Source organism: Homo sapiens, chromosome 1 (genome assembly GCF_000001405.40).
Source record: "Homo sapiens chromosome 1, GRCh38.p14 Primary Assembly".
NCBI classification, from domain to species: domain Eukaryota; kingdom Metazoa; phylum Chordata; class Mammalia; order Primates; family Hominidae; genus Homo; species Homo sapiens.
In genome coordinates this window covers 222,672,342-222,689,520 of record NC_000001.11, presented here as the reverse complement: position 1 = coordinate 222,689,520, position 17,179 = coordinate 222,672,342, and the positions used below count along the sequence as shown (strand labels likewise).

The 17,179-nt window shown below is 37.5% G+C and overlaps 1 protein-coding gene across 2 annotated transcripts in view; it reads left to right on the top strand.

Annotated features, from left to right (window-relative positions):
• The window catches only part of AIDA (axin interactor, dorsalization associated), a 44,479-nt gene that overhangs the window by 22,971 nt on the left and 4,329 nt on the right, over window positions 1-17,179 (top strand). Inside the window, exons 5-8 of one of the 2 annotated variants that reach the window (NM_022831.4) lie at window positions 1,863-1,926; window positions 2,485-2,591; window positions 13,303-13,425; window positions 16,086-16,208. In NM_022831.4, coding sequence (NP_073742.2) covers window positions 1,863-1,926; window positions 2,485-2,591; window positions 13,303-13,425; window positions 16,086-16,208 — 417 coding nt within the window. Of the gene's footprint in view, window positions 1-1,862; window positions 1,927-2,452; window positions 2,592-13,302; window positions 13,426-16,085; window positions 16,209-17,179 lie in introns of those variants that run through there. The other variant, XM_047428100.1, reaches the window with a different exon arrangement.

Sequence of the window (17,179 nt, the reverse complement as noted above, 5' to 3'; positions counted from 1 at the left end):
ATATATATATATATATATATATATATATATATATATATACACACACACACATACATATTTTCTTTTTTCTTGAGACAGCTTTTGAGACAGTCTGGCTCTGTTGACCAGGCTGGAGTGCAGTGGCATGATCTCCGCTCGCTGCAACCTCCATCTCCTGGGTTCAAGCAATTCTCATGACTCAGCCTCTGGAGTAGCTGGAATTACAGGCGTGTGCCACCAGGCCTGGCTAATTTTTTTGTATTTTTAGTAGAGATGGGGTTTCACTGTGTTGGCCAGGCTGGTCTCAAACTCCTGTCTGCCAGGGATCCATCTGCCTCAGCCTCCCAAAGTGCTGGGATTACAGGTGTGAACCAATGCGCCAGCCACAATAATATTTTTTCTTTATGTCCTTATTCTATAAGTGTTTTCTATTTTAATTTTTGTTTTTACTCTTTAAACTTTTTTTTAACAACTAAGAAACACACACACACACACATTAGCTTAGGCCTACACGGGGTCAGGATCATCAATATCACTGTCTTCCACCTCCACATCTTGTCCCACTGGAAGGTCTTCCAGGGCAGTAACACACATGGAGCTGTCATCTCCTATGATAACAATGCCTTCTTCTGATACCTCCTGAAGGACCTGCCTGAGGCTGTTTTATAATTAACTTTTTCTGGGGGGAGGCTGAGGCAGGCAATCACCTGAGGTCAGGAGTTCGAGACCAGCCTGGCCAACATGGCAAAACTCCGTCTCTATAAAAATACAAAAATTAGCCAGGTTTGTTGGCTCATGCCTGTAATCCTAGCTACTCGGGAAGCTGAGGCAGGAGAATTGCTTGAACCTGAGAGGCAGAGGTTGCAGTGAGCTGAGATCATGCCATTGCACTCTAGCCTGGGCAACGGAGCGAGACTCTGTCTCAAAAAAAAAAAAAATTAACTTTTTTTTAGTAAGTAGAAGAAGTACACTCTAAAATAATGACAAAAAATGTAGTAAGTACAGTAAGTTCTATGTAAACAATATACTATAAAAAGTACAGTTTATACTAGGCAGTTGGAATTTTTCAGTTCCATTGTAATCTTATGGGACCACTGTCATGTATGTGGTCTGTCGCTGACTGAAACATTATTATGTGGTGCATGACTGATTATAATAATTTTTTAAGACTCAGAATGCCAGGACTCAGTATAATAAATTTTATCATAAAAGAAATATGAGAATTATAACCTTGCTGCTACAAACTACCAGTTTGATGGCATTGAGAGGAAATCTCAGGACAGAGAATAAAATGTACTCATGTATCTCTAACTGGGCATCTTTTATACAACTTTTTTTGAAACAGAGTATCATTCTTGCAATGGCGTGATCATGGCTCACTGCAGCCTTGACCTCCCAGGCTCAGGTGATTCTCCTACCTCAGCCTCCTGAGTAGCTGGGACCACAGACCTGCGCCACCATGCCTGGCTAATTTTTATTTTTATTTTGTAGAGATAGGAGTCTCCCTGTGTTGCCCAGGCTCAAATCTTTTAATTAAAGTACTATAGGGAGGAGGCATTCTCTTTTTCTGGTACCCCATGTCTCACCTAGGAACTTGTAGATAGGACTCAGTTTTCATGAGGGCTCTGAGACTCTGGAACTTACTCTTCTTGGAGATCTGACATTACTCTGAAGATACTGGTACCTAGAGTATATCATGGATATTTTAATTTTGCTAAGACTTCAGTGGACAAATGTACTGTGTAGCTCTCAAATGGTGGTAAGGCTGGGAATTTATATATATTAATATGCACAATAAAATTGATTAAAAATTAATCATTTAAGATATAATTTTTGATTTTGCTTCATGGAAGAATTCATGTTTCTTTATCTTCTTATTCTAGTCCTAAAGAATATTCTTACATATAATAAAGAATTCCCATTTGATGTTCAGCCTGTCCCATTAAGGTAAAAGAAACATTTATATTTGTTTTCTTATTTTATTTTATACCTCTCTTTCAGATAGTTCTGGGTTTTCTTAAATATCAACTTTGGTATTATTGATATCATTGACATCAACAATGATAACAGTATATCAGCATTTTATTTTATTTCAGTATTATTATTTTTTTGAGATGGAGTCTTGCTTTGTCACCCAGGCTGGCATGCAGTGGCGCTATCTCGGCTCACTGCAACCTCCGCCTCCTGGGTTCAAGCAATTCTCCTGCCTCAGCCTCCCAAGTAACTGGGATTACATGTGCACGATGCCACGCCCAGCTAATTTTTTTGTATTTTAGTAGAGACGGGATTTCACCGTATTGCCCAGGCTGGTCTCGAACTCCTGAGCTCAGGCAGTCTGCCCGCCTCGGCCTCCAAAAGTGCTAGGATTACAAGCATGAGCCACCACACCCGGCCTATCAGCATTTTTTTATATCAGCATCTTGCCTGGGAAACGAGTGTCTGTGAGGCTTCACTAGTATATTTAGTTTTGCAGTTTGTTGTTTTTTCTGCCCTTTTTTTGTGTAGAAGAATTTTGGCACCTGGTGAAGAAGAGAATTTGGAATTTGAAGAAGATGAAGAAGAGGGTGGTGCTGGAGCAGGGTCTCCTGATTCTTTTCCTGCTAGAGTTCCCGGTAGGTATCACTTATTAAAAATAAACATTATTTAACTGCAACCAGAGTCAGGGTGTTTGAAACTTTCTTTGGTATTTGCTAGTGGGGCAGTACAACCACTCTAAAGCTCATGCCAATCTTAGGCAAATTTTATTGGCAGTAGCTATTTCATAAGTATGGTGTGAAGTTATCTTACTATCTGTGTCAGGGGTCCTCAGGACCATTCCCATGTTCAGTGATTCACTAGGACAACTCACAAGGCTCACTATGTAGTTGTATTCATAGCTAGGATTCATTACAAGAGAACACAAGAACAAAATCAGCAAACAGAAAAGGCATATGTGCAAAGTCTGGAGGAAACCAGATGCAAGCTTTCAAGAATCCCCTTCCAGTAGAGTCACATAAGATGTGCTTAATTTCCCATTCAACAAGTTGTGACAACATGTGAAATGCACAATGTTGTCTACTAGAGAAGCTCTTTAGAGTCAGTGCCCAAAGCTTTTATTGGGGACTGATTATGTGGGTACCTTCTGCCTGGCACAGACCACAATTCCAGACTACAGAAGAAACAAGATGTTTAGCACAAACCATATTGTTCACACAGTTTAGGCACAGTGACCATTCTTATCAGGGAATGGTGGGAACCCTCCCCAAATCCAAGATCCCAGATGCCAGCCATGGGCTGACCTGGCAAGGAGGTTTTCTAAGAATAACAGTCTTAGGCCTGCTATGTTAATTCTTTTCTGTAGACTGTCATAAGTACTTCTTTTGTTTTGTTTTGTTTTGTTTTGAGACAGAGTCTCGTTCTGTCACCCAAGCTGGAGTGCAGTGGCACCATCTCGGCTCACTGCAAACTCCGCCTCCCAGGTTTCAAGCAATTCTCGCATCTCAGCCTCCCAAGTAGCTGGGATTCTAGGTGCATGCCACCACACCCGGCTAATTTTTGTATTGTTAGTAGAGACAGGGTTTCGCCATGTTGGCCAGGCTGGTCTCGAACTCCTGACCTCAGGTGATCCACCTGCCTCAGCCTCTCATAGTGCTGGGTTTACAGGCATGAGCCATTGCGCCCGGCCATAAGTACTTCTTTAATTAATCAAATTGTGGTGGTTAAAAGTGGACCCATGGGAGTGGATATTGAACAATTGCCCTTTCTTCCCCATCTTGTTTTAGGGAAGCAAAGAATATACGGAAACTTTTTTATTTCTGGAAGCTCTCCATGAGTATCTTCCCTCCCTGTAAATAACCTTGGCAAGCACCCTGGGTAAATTTCTTGCCTCTCCCAATTACTGCTTTACTCTGTTCTGTTCTTATAAAGTACAGTTTTTATTTCTAATAAACTAGTTTACTTTAGGAAGTATAGCAATCTGCTATAATATTGTGATGCATTTTAGAAGAGATTCTAGAAGCTTTCCATTATAGTTAAATACAATCTGTGTGCTGTTCAGATAGCTTTCTTCATAATTAATATTCCAGTATTTTGAATACTCCTTGAACAGTAGTCATTTGGAGTAGGAACAATATAGGCTTGGACCAACAGATAACTGGGCTTTTGAGTCTGGGCTCTGCCAATTACTAGTTGAGTGACTTTGCACCTGTGTCCTAAACCAATCTGAACTTCTGTTTCTTTATAAAATGGGATAATGATAGTGCCTAACTCATAAGGTTACTGTGAAGATTAACAAGATACTAAGTATAAACCATTTAGCATTGTATTTTTCATATGCTGAATATTAGTGGTGGCTGTTACGCTTGTCATCCTCTCTACATGGGGATAACAGTACCTATACTGCAGGGTTATTGGAAACATTGCAGGCACTATCAATGGTAGCTCTTATTGTTAATAATGTTTCTTTGGTACAAGGGCATTATTTCCAATTTACTTTGCTTTATGAAGATAGAGCTATATTTTTCTTGCTTTTATAGGGTATTTCAAGGTTGCCAAGATGGTGAGATATTTTGCTGTTTCACTGACTCGATAATTTTTATTGCCGTTTCAAACCACATACTGTAATTGGTATAGCTTCCAGTTCTATAAATTTCTATCTGATTTGGTTGTTTTCCTGCTTACTGTACTTCTGTAGCAAACAAGAAGCAGATGATGTAAATCATGAAGTGGGCAGATTAAGGTCTTTATGGGGTTCAGGTTGCTAAGTTGAAAAGGAACTTCTACCATAAATTAAATCCATTTGCTATGTAAGATAAAGCCCAAACTGAATTTGTATTCTGATATAGCATTGTGATATTTCATTTCAGAGATACAGATGCCTTACTGAACCTTTCTAGTCCCTGAATTTTTTTCCCCCCTAAAAGAAAGAGTATGTATGGTTTAATTAGCTATATTTGGTTTGGGATCATATTGTTCAGGGCCTGTGTTATTAAAAAATAACTTGTAAAATTATATTCATTGAAAATGTCATTGAAATAGCAAGATGATACTTAACTTTTAATTATAGAGCAAGAAAAACTTTCTTGTTACCCAAAGGGAACCCAAAATTTAAAATCAGTTTTACTAGGATATTTACATATGTGAAATTCACTTGGCTGGGCACAGTGGCTCATGCCTGTAATTCCAAGACTTTGGGAGGCCGAGGCAGGTGAATCACCTGAGGTCAGGAGTTCGAGACCAGCCTGGCCAACATGGTGAAACCCCGTCTCTACTAAAAATACAAAAATTAGCCAGGCGTGGTGGTGGGCACCTGTAATCTCAGCTACTTGGGAAGCTGAGGCAGGAGAATTGCTGGAACCTGGGAGGCGGAGGTGCCGTGAGCTAAGGTTGTGCCATTGTACTCCAACCCAGGCTAACAACAGCCAGACTCCGTCTCAAAAAAAAAAAAGAAATTCATTCTTTTTAATATGTACCTTTAATGAGTTTTGACCAACTCATATACTAACCACTACCACTGTTAAGATAATGAGGTGTGAGGGTATGATGTATGGTATGTAGATACGGAATGACCAAGAATAGTTTTTTTCTGATTTAAAATTTAAAATTAAAAACTTTTTAGCCAGCCTTTCATGAAAATAAAAAAAAGGTAGTCAAGCTTACTTACCTTTCTTGATATTAATCTCCTTCCTTCCTTTTCAAAATATTTAAATTTTTTAAGACAAACATATTTATGTTATATAATTGGCTTAGCCAAAATGGGAGTTAACTTTTCTAAAGATAGTCTTGGTAGATTTCATTTAAATAGAAAGTATAAGCTTATAGCCTATTATTTATAACCTAAAAATTTACTGATAGTCTTGAATAGTAAAGCTATAAAATGATAAACCAAAGCAATATAACTTTAAAAATAGCCAAGACACAACTTTACACAAGACTTTTAAAAAGATTTTCTTACTAAGTAACATGATCCAAGCTCAAATAGTCCTAGCAGTTTCAGAATTATTATACATAGGTACTGGTTCTTCATCTCTTACGTAGGCTTATGTATGCATAAAACATTATTTTTGAAACTCAAAATAAAGAATGAAATTTACCTATTTAATGTCAAACCTGTATTTGTTTTCTGCTGCATAACTATTCAATTCTGAGTTGAACTTGAAAGATAAGAAAGCATGGATTTTATTTTCCGCTGAAATGAAGCAGTTTCTTTTCTTGCTAACACACATGTAAGAAAGTCAAAAACTGCAGCAAATGTTCATTGCTTTCCTGTGACTATCAGGGCTTTCCTTTTTTGTGGAAATCCAGAACATGTTTAGGGGCCAAGCAGTTAATATCATCTGAAGTGTATGGTTGTGTTTACAAACAACTTTAATCAGGTATAGTTTTAATTCAACAGACCTACATACGATATTATTTCAATGATAATGGCCCCTAAGATTTTGTCAAACTTTTAAGATAATTTCAAAATGAACAAACTTATAATTTCAAAGCCTTTCTCTTAAAAGCTTGAGGAACCCATGTTCCTCAACTGCTTATCAATTGCTAGCTAAAATAAATTGCATATGTATTTTAATATTTTACAACGATTTCTATCTCTAAATGTAACTCAGCAATTCAAACAAATAAATGGTATCACTATGACCTGTTATCTATGTGCAATGCAAATTGCAAAGATTTTCTATTGCCAGATTTTCAAGACACATTTCATGTGTTATCTTCCATCTACCAAATATTGTAGCCAGTTTGAGCAGTATCTTTACCTTAAACTGTGTTAAAAATTATCTCAAAATAATGCAAAGCATTATCAAGTATGTATATTTTTATTATGTTTTGGCAGCACAAAGAAATATATACTCAAAAAAAATTTGGATGACTGAGAAAATCAGATATGTACCAGATATGCAAATTTAATTACAAGTATGATAAGTTAAAAATGGTGGAAACTAGCAATGCATATATTATCATGGGTATATATATTATCATATGTATATATTATGATAATGTTGAGTTTGCATTTTAGACACCTGATTGAATTCTGTCCTAAAAGTGTGGATAAAAAATTATGTACTCTTTGTTCATGACATTTAATTTTCAAAGCACCAAGGCAACATAAGGACTGACCTCTCATTGAAGTACCAGTGCCTGTGACAAGCATCTATAAAATATCATATAAAAATCAAATAAACTTAATAAGCAAATTCAAATCACGATGTTTTCAGAAGATACAATCCTTAGTAATTTTCTGAGAAGGCATTGCCTCTTTAACGTTCTGGTCTAGGTGGTGATATACTACTATTTTAGAACAAAGACCATCATGCCATTTGCCCTTCTGGACCAAAAGAAAAATTTTCCTTTGGTGGTGGTATATGATGTAAACAGTAGCAATTTTTTTAAAAGCAGAAATAATAAGACAAAAAAGGAAATGGCAGCCTTCCTCTTCTCTGTGTGAAGACAGGGTCTTAAAGGATTTCACTGACTTCAAGTCCCTTCCATGTAACCCCAGACTCCTCATCCATTCATAGTCTGGTTCTCCGTAATCTCCATTGTCCAGAGTGCCTTTGGCCACACACAGAACTAGTCAATGTGAGAAGATCCTACTCCTTGCTGGGATCTCCATTTTTATCAGCTTCCTCTTGGAACAGAGAAGTTGTAAGTGAGGGGCCTCAGATGTTCCTCCGCTTTTCTCTGTACCAGCTGTAGGAGGGAGAGTGGTACTGATTGCTGGACACCTTGGTGGTCATCTGGGGATTCACATGGCCAGCATGGACAGAGGACTTGCTTGCACAGTCCACATCCCCTCCCCATGGTGGCAGTGGCTATAACACACTCTTCTGAGAGCCTGCCCTGTTGCTAGGTTAGACACTTGTACAGTTTTCAAAACGTTCTTTTATTTTTCTTTTTTTTGAGACAGTCTCGCTCTGTCGCCCAGGCTGGAGTGCAGTGGTACAATTTCAGCTCACTGCAACCTCTGCCTCCCTGGTTCAAGCAATTCTCCTGCGTCAGCCTCCCAAGTAGCTTCGATTACAGTCATGCACTACCACACCGGCTCATTTTTGTATTTTTAGTGCAGGCAGAGTTTCACCATGTTGGCCAGGCTGATCTCAAACTCCTGACCTCAGGTAATCCACCCACCTTGGCCTCCCAAAGTGCTGGGATTACAGGTGTAAGCCACCATGCCCGGCCAATTTTCAAAACATTCTTGAGTGAACTGGTCTTTGTTGAATAAACTTAGCCATTTCTCTGATACCTAGAACCAGTTTTCATTTTATTTGTGAGAATTTTGATAGCAGCACTTCAGTGAAGAAAGCCATGAGTTGACAGTGTCAGCGTTTTCTGTTTGACACCACAGTGTACAGCCCAGGGCAGTTCCTCAGAGGTACACGTGAGGACAGGGCGTGAAATCCAGCTTGGCCTTTGCTTGTTTGGGGACTTCACAGCAGAAACAGTTTTCTTGAGTACACCATTCTTTATAGACCTTACAAATGCTATAGCATGTCATTTATTGGTAAAATTTTTAGACTCAATAGAGAAGCTTTTTTTTTATAGTTTATCACAAAACCTCTTCAGGATATGAAAAGTCATCTCTTGTGTCCACTTATTGCGCGGTTTGGGAATAGAGCCTTTTAAATTTCTTATACTATATCTTGTGCTAAAAACGTCTTGTAATTTCACATGCAGGCATTATGAGATCCTTGCCCACTGTGTGACTTTTCTTCCTCTGGGCATTAAGCTCTGCTACTAAGTAATTTCCTTTTTGAGCCTTTTTTAAGTGAACATTACTTTAGAAAAAAAAAAAGCTTTACTCTATTTTAAATGGCCATTAGGATATCAAAATAATCGGTGTCTTTACTTATCAATGGTTGTGACTTGTAGTTGCGATTTCTCGATTTTGTTGGATCCATTGCTGCATTGATAAAGTGTTTTTCACAGATGAGGCAACTTGGAAATTATCCATCCAGGTACAACCATATTAATAAGTAGGTCTCATCATTAAATGGACTTTTTTGTTTTTCCCAGTGCACTAGTGCAGTGAAATGATTCAGAAGCTTGAAATTCATTGTTTTTACTTAGGGAGAATTGTCTCTATGCTTAGGCTTAGAACCTTCCTCTCCTAGCTCATACCTCTTCTTTAGAAATCACATTGAATTGAAAAATTTCCTCCAGTTTTCTTTGCTACAAGTAGAGCATGTTTGCTTCAGCTGTTGGTGCATAAGGGAAGGTTGGGGCAGGTAAAGCTGAAGAGGCTGACGTCAGACTGCTGTATAGAGCTCATCAGCTACCAGTGGCTTCCCCTGTCTCCTGAAAAAAAAAATACTAAATGGACCAAGTCAAGTGAACATAATCTTAACTGCTTACTGCCATATGAGGCTCAAAGACCTATAATAAAATTGCTATAGGGGCTGCATAGTCTCTTTCCATCACTGTGAACCTGCATTGCTCAGTGTACAAAGCCCATTGCAGGGGCTGCAGATGGTGTAGTATTATCCTCGTATTTTATTGTCTTTAGTGCATATTTAAAGGCAGTGCATTGATAGAAATCACTCTTTTGCGTGGAGCTCCTAGCGAGTTCAGGGACACCCTGGGATTCCACAGAACCCAGGTTGAGAAATCTTGATTTAGACAGTTGTAGCCATACAGAGCTTTTCATATTTAGAAGTGTGAGGCAGAAATAATGCATCCCTTCCCAAAGATGTCCACATCCCAATCCTCAGAATCTGTGCATATGTTTCTTACATTACACGGCAACAGAGACTTTGCAGATGTGATTATGTGAAGGACCTTGAGATGGGGAGGTCATTTCACAGCTCCTGTGTAGGCTCTATGGACAATGAAGAAATGGCCAAATGAGGTGTGGTGGTTACAAGCATGGAATCCCGTGCCAAACTGCTATATGATTGTGGGCAGATTACTTAACTTTTCTGTCTTAGTTTTCACTTCTGAAAAAATGGGACACCTTGTTATAGGGTGCTATAGCACCTGTGTTATAGGGTTGTTGGGAGGATTAAATGAGTTAGTACATGTAAAGGATTAGAACAGTGCCTGGCACACCCTGACATGTTCTGTAAAAGTTGGCTGTTTATTATTTATGCAGCTTTTCCATATGGAAGAACATTTATTATTTCTGATCCTCACTTTAGATCTAACAGCAAATGATCTAGCTGGAAACACGCAGTTTTTCATGGCTCATGTATGATTTCTTTTCTTACTTCAGTTACAGTCTTCAAGTTTTATAAATGTAGTTACTTATTCTCATATTACTCTATACAGTTGAATGTGTTCATTCTTCTTTTAGAAATCTTGCTTTTAATACATTGCCTTGATTTTTAATTATTGTATGTTTTTATCTTTGATACACAAATATGTTAACTTTTTCATCTAACCCTGGAATGGTGTGGTATTATCCTAGTATTTTATCTTCTTTCGTGCATATTATATAAGGCAGTACATTGATATATGTTTTCAGGCCACATGTTTATAGAGCATAATAACCTCTAGAACTGTAAAATTCATTTATCATTCAACAAATGATAAAAGAGTTCTAAAACAAAGATCTCTTTATTACTAGTGAAAACAATACAAAAATGAACAGTTACTCATCCCGTCTTTCAGGATGCTCACCATGTAAGACAGAGCCAAAAAAAGTACATCATCATGGTTAGAGGTGGACACAGTATATTATGAGTGAACGAAAAAAGGACTGACAGAGTTTAGCAAAGGTAATCTAGCCAGAACTGAGACTCAAAGGGAGTGTAGGAGTTGACTAGGCAGGGAGAGAGCACATTAGAAACCACTGAGAAATACACCTTTCTCTATTACCTGTCGTCTTAATCACATAGCTTCAGCTGTTCCTTAGTAAAGATAAAACTACTGAACCTTCATGGTGGAGATGAAATGTTTTATGTTCTACCTTGAATTAGGGAAGAACTGAATAAATTAAGTATCTTTCCAGCTTGGAATCACTGCCTCCATATTACATTGTTAGAAATATATTTAGTAGTTAGATTAAACCTTATTATATTCTCAGGCAAAAAAAAAGTTTGTTGGTAAGGAAGAAAGAAATGTCAGCCTCATTATTTCAACTAAAAGATCTAGACAATTACAGGTTATGAAACTGATTCACCTAAAGGTAGAAGAATTTTTAATGTTTACTTGGGAGAAAATAGTCTATCATAAAAAGAACTTGTCTCTTTTGTCTGTCAGAAAACACCATAATCAAAATCAAAATGACAAACGACTAATATTCTTAATATATAAAGAAAATTTTAAGTTGTGACAACAAAGACCCCAAACACATTAGAAAATTGGGCAAAAGACATGAACAGATAGTACACACACACACACACACACACACACACACACACACCCCAAGATATACAAATAGCTCTTAAATGTATTAGAAGATACTCAACTTTACATATGATAAAAGACATGCAGATGCCTTATATGGCAGTTCCCTGTTGCTGAGACAACAGGGAAATGGGCTCATTTATCACTGGTGGGAATAGAAAGTGGTAATAGTCCCTTTAAAGGAGAGTTCAGCAATAGCTCAGCAACAACAAAAATATACAATTTTTCTTAGTTTAGCAATCCTGTTCCTAGGAATTTACTCTGAAGATACACCTCCAATAATGTGTAAAAAATTTTTTTTTAAATACTTACATATACACCAGGTTCTCTATTGAGGTGTTTTTGGTAATAGTAATATATTAGAAACAACCTAACTGCCATACGAAGATTGGCTGAATAAATAGCCAATACATGGACTATTACAGAAAATAATTAGGAAAATCTCCATGAACTATTGAGTGATTTTTTTTTTCAGAATATATTGTTAAATCAGCAAGATACATATATCAAGGTAATTCACATTAGCAGATTAAGGAGAAGAATCCCATGATCTCAAGAGATGCAGAAAAATTTTTCAATTACATTCTAATTTCTTTCATGATTTTAAAACTTTCTTAGCAGACCAAGAACAGAACATTCTTAATCTGATAAAAGGTAGCTGTAATGACATTTAGCGCCTCAGTCATATTTAATGATAAAATGGAAAGCTTTCCTTTTCAGATCAGGAACAAAACAAGGGTGCCTCCTGTTAACTATTTTCCTCAACAGTGCTTTAGAAGTTCTGGCCAGTGTACTAGTATAAGAAAAAGAAATAAAATATAAAAATTAGAGGGGGGGAAACCTGTCCCTTTATTTGCAGATGTTATGAATATGTATTTAGAACATGAAAGAGAACCTATGGATAAGTCATTAGTATTAATAAGAGAGTAGGGTTCCTGAGTATAAAATCTGTACATAAAAATCAGTTCTTCCTGCCAGCAGAGGTATTATTAAAAAATCGATCCTCTCTCTTTAAATAAGCAATAAGTGCTCAGAAAATGAAATATTATAACGTCTATAATAGTATCAGAAAATATCAAGTATCTTATAATAAACCCAACAAAAGAAGTATAAGACTTTTGTGAAGAAAAGAAAAAAATTCTATTGAGAAAATTAAGAAGTCTTTAAAAAGTTGAGAGATATCAGTTGATGGATTGGAAGAAGCAATTTCTAAAGATGTGGTTCTTTCTAAAATTGATCTAAACTTCATTGCAATTTCAACGGATGGGTTTTTTTTTGTTTGTTTTTTTTTGTGGTTTTTTTGCTTCAGTGTTCATAAGGAAAAGAATGGGAAATTAGACTGTAAAATTATTCCATTAAATACACAATTATTAAGTTGTAAATTATTTCCTATATCAATAGTAACTAGTGGCAAATGCCTGTAGTCCCTGGTACTCGGGAGGCTGAGGTGGGAGGATCGCTTGAACCTGGGAGGTCGAGGCTGCAGTGAGCTGTGATTGTGCCACTGCACTCCAGCCTGGGTGACAGAGTGAGACACTGTGTCAAAAAAAAAGTAAAGCATTTGTTGATCAACTCTGGTATTATATTTCTCAAATGTTAGGATAATATAACAAATATTTTTAAAGTTTTTTCTTCTACCACTTCATATTGAGATGAGAAGTATATTATATAAATGAGCATATACAAAGTGTATGTATGTGAGTTTATTATTAATTATGTGGTAATTTATAATTGGGCTTCCTGGAGTGACTTAAATTTCTGCCAGACTTGAATAATTTCTGCTTTAGTGGTGACTATGAGACATGGAAGTGCAGATTTCTCTTACATATAATTAAACATTTGGAAAAATAATGCCAAGCGTTTGGGAGTTTCGGGAACCAAAATAATGCCTGGCTAGTTACTAAGTCAGTTACAAGCAAGGCTGTATCTTCTCTGTGTTCATTAAAATGTTTACTGTGAAATGATATGGAGCTTTTATTGCTTTTTCTCTGTTGCCAGGTACTTTATTACCAAGGTTGCCATCGGAACCAGGAATGACATTACTCACTATCAGAATTGAGAAAATTGGTTTGAAAGATGCTGGGCAGTGCATCGATCCCTATATTACAGTTAGTGTAAAGGGTAAGTGACTCTGTTTACTTTTTTTTTCTCAGGTGAATTTTATAATGTTGCTTCTCATTTGGGACAGTTTTATTTTGGTGGTGGGGCGGGGAGTCTTATGTATGTGACAACTCATTTTAGTTCATTCTATCATGAGGCAAAGTCCCTGGAAGAGGTCATCACTTCTTCACAGAACACTTCTGAGAGATTTACTTATTTTCTTATTTATAACTTACATTGTTTTGCTTTTGAGTTTTTCTTTGTGTGTATCTTTTTATTCTTAACATCCCATCTGGGGTGCTGGCTACACATCTTTAACAGCAGATACATCCTTTAGGATACAGGTTAACAGAATGTCCCTCACCTTCCAAAGATGTGTAGGTTTGTTTGCAAAGCCCAGTGTTCTGTTTCCCGATTCCTCCTGCATTAGGCCTTCTCCTTCCTGTCCAAGAGAGAGGTCTACATTGGAGAGTCCTACAAAGGTGGATGAGAATCAGGCCTTAAGTGAATCATCAGTGAGGACAGGAAGCAAGGATAGATCCATAGTATGCATGCTCTGAATGTAATCCTATGGAGCATTCAACAAGTGAAGTATTTCTTATCCTTAACTATGTTACTGTGGTTAGGAAGCATGATTATTCTTAGGATTTGGTTTTTTTCTCCTATCCAGTGTGGCAGTTCATTTATTCCTTAAAAACAACATTTTCAGTCTTTCAAAGGGAAACCACATTGGTTGAATTCTTTTATTGTTGCCAAACATTTTATACAGTACTTTATTTATGAAGTAGTTAACAGTCTTTTAAAAATAATTATTGGGTGATTGAGAATGAAGTTGTCATACTCCTATCCAGAAACAACTGCACAGCTAATCCAAGTGGTTTACTTTAATCTGTAATTTGAGGCAAGTCAGAGAAACAGATAGGGGCTGAAATCAAATGAAGAGAACTTTTGTCAGTCATAGAAATAAATTCAGATTCAAAAGTTCATTAGTACCAATTAAAATAAAAAGGAATTCTGCCACAGAGAGGGATTATTTGGAGACCGTGATCCACAGCATTAATGCTGTGAAACTTTAACTTCTGATGTTATCAGGTATCAAATATATGGCCTACTGGAAAGTATATATACTCTACATTATAGTTTGATAGGTCATTTACAGAACTGCGTAACTCATGCAGGAATGTACACCAAAACAAAAAGATGTTTAATGATAGTGTAGTAACTGTTAAGTTACCTTTGCATACATGTTGAACTAAAACATGTTTTTGTAAATATCTTTAAGAACTGAAACAATCAATGTACTATATTGTTTTAAGTTCTCTAAGACAAATCTGTTGAATAATACATAAACACTTGAGTAGTCATTAAATGAGTCCATGTTGAATTTGATTAAACTGGAAGATTCCTGGGTCCAGGAAATTAAAACCATACACAATAACTTAGTGTTCTTTCTAGTTGGTATAAAACAGGTTGTTACAACAAATATAATGAGAATTTAGATAATATTTGTAAAAACGTATTCATTGATGGAAGGGTTTCATTGGCAATTTTCATGTCCATTTTTGGTCCTTTGACTTGAATACAGCAGGGGGATTCTGATAATGTTAGATTTAAAGGTCTTTCCAAACCATACACTTGATCAAGTTTGGAAATTAGGGGTAAGGTCCCATTGAGGCATATTATTTACATTCTAAGTTTTTATTGCAGACAAAAATATAGTGGCCTATCTCCTAAGGAAAACAAAAAGTTCTTTTCACTTCTTCCCTATAAAGATGAAATTTTGTGTTCTACAAGCTTTCTTTTGTACCTGATTGAGACAGGTTTCCTCCTTCCCACCGCGAAATCTCCCATCCCCTCACTCAGCCCCCTCCACATGCCTCTGTGGTCACCTGCAACTCTTCAGGTACCTGCTCACACCAAATGGGAATTTCTGTTAGCCCAAGAATTTCCTCTTACCTTTCTGCAAGCATCCTTATGAAATATACGCCCTGTAGTTGACAGGGTTTTTTTGTTTGTTTTTTGTTTTTTTGACACAGAGTTTCACTCTTACTGCCCAGGCTGGAGTGCAGTGGCGCGATCTTGGCTCACTGCAACCTCTGCCTCCCGGATTCAAGAGATTCTCCTGCCTCAGCCTCCCAAGTAGCTGGGATTACAGGTGTGCACCACCACGCCTGGCTAATTTTTTTTGTATTTTTAGTAGAGATGGGGTTTCCCCATGTTGGTCAGGCTAGTCTTGAACTCCTGACCTTAAGTGATCCACCCGCCTCAGCCTCCCAAAGTTCTGGGGTTACAGGTGTGAGCCACCGTGCCCTACCTAGTTTGCAGGTTTTTGTTTTTTTGAGACAGAGTCTAGCTCTTTTGCCCAGGCTGGAGTGCAGTGGTGCGATCTCGGCTCACTGCAAGCTCCGCCTCCTGGGTTCACGCCATTCTCCTGCCTGAGCCTCCCGAGTAGCTGGGACTATAGGCGCCCGCCACCACACCCGGCTAATTTTTTTTGTATTTTTAGTAGAGACGGGGTTTCACCATGTTAGCCAGGATGTTCTTGATCTCCTGACCTTGTCATCTGCCCGCCTCGGCCTCCCAAAGTGCTAGGATTACAGGCGTGAGCCACCGTGCCTGGCCTGCAGTTTTTAAGTCTGTATATTTGAATGTTCCTAAAGAGAAACTTCTTTTCTCTTTAGATCTGAATGGCATAGACTTAACTCCTGTGCAAGATACTCCTGTGGCTTCAAGAAAAGAAGATACATATGTTCATTTTAATGTGGACATTGAGCTCCAGAAGCATGTTGAAAAATTAACCAAAGGTTTGTAATCCTAAATAATACTTGGCTTCTTATGGACAGAATTCTCATCTTATTTGTGTTTGTACATATGGTGGACCTAGCATAGTTAGTATCTGGCAGAAGTAAATGTAACATAGTGTTTATTGATTTGAATAAATATACATATTTTTAAAATGTAGAAATTAGGAATTGTGTTATCTACTTGTCTAATAGCACTGTTATATAGTAAAACAATCTTTGATAATAAAATTTTATTGTCTTTACCAACAAAACAAAGTTTTTCACACACTAAAGGGCTGGGAGAAGCAGGAGTGCGTGAAGGTTCCCTGATGATTCAGTTTTCATCTTCAAATTAAGAACCAGGGTTTTCTCCCAGTATTTCTAGTTTGGTAGAACGATAACTTAACTTGCAGTTAATTGTTAGGAAATAGGAAAGGACAAAAGCAAATTTTTGAAATAGTGAGGCTACATTTCCAAGTATGATTCTTAGTATTAAATACTTCCCCATGCTTTTCGCCCAGTGGAAATTTGAGTGTTCTCCAAAAAGGTGACTTCAGAATCCCTTTATCACCTGAGGGTTCAGTTGCAGTTTCTGAAATGTTCAAGCTCTGTAGGATATTCAAGTCCCTTTTGAAGTGATTGCCTCGGCGTCTGAAATATTCGATATTTCACTTCTCAAGTCTGGTGCTGCTGCCTCCTCTGTTCCCCCACTAAAAGACCTTTCAGTGCTTCTGTTAGAACAGTGGTTCTCAGAGTATGATTCCTGGAACAGGAGCAGCACCTGGAGCCTTCTTAGGTGGCCACCCCAGACATCCTGAATCCGAAACCATGGGGATGGGCCTAGCAGTCTGTTTTAGGAAGCCCTCTAGGTGATTCTGACATACACCAAAGCTCCAGAGTCACTGTGTTAGAAGACTATGTATGTAGGAGGTGCTTAATAAATAACGTTGAAGAAATTTCAGTTACAAAGTATGTCTTCTGAACAAAACTAT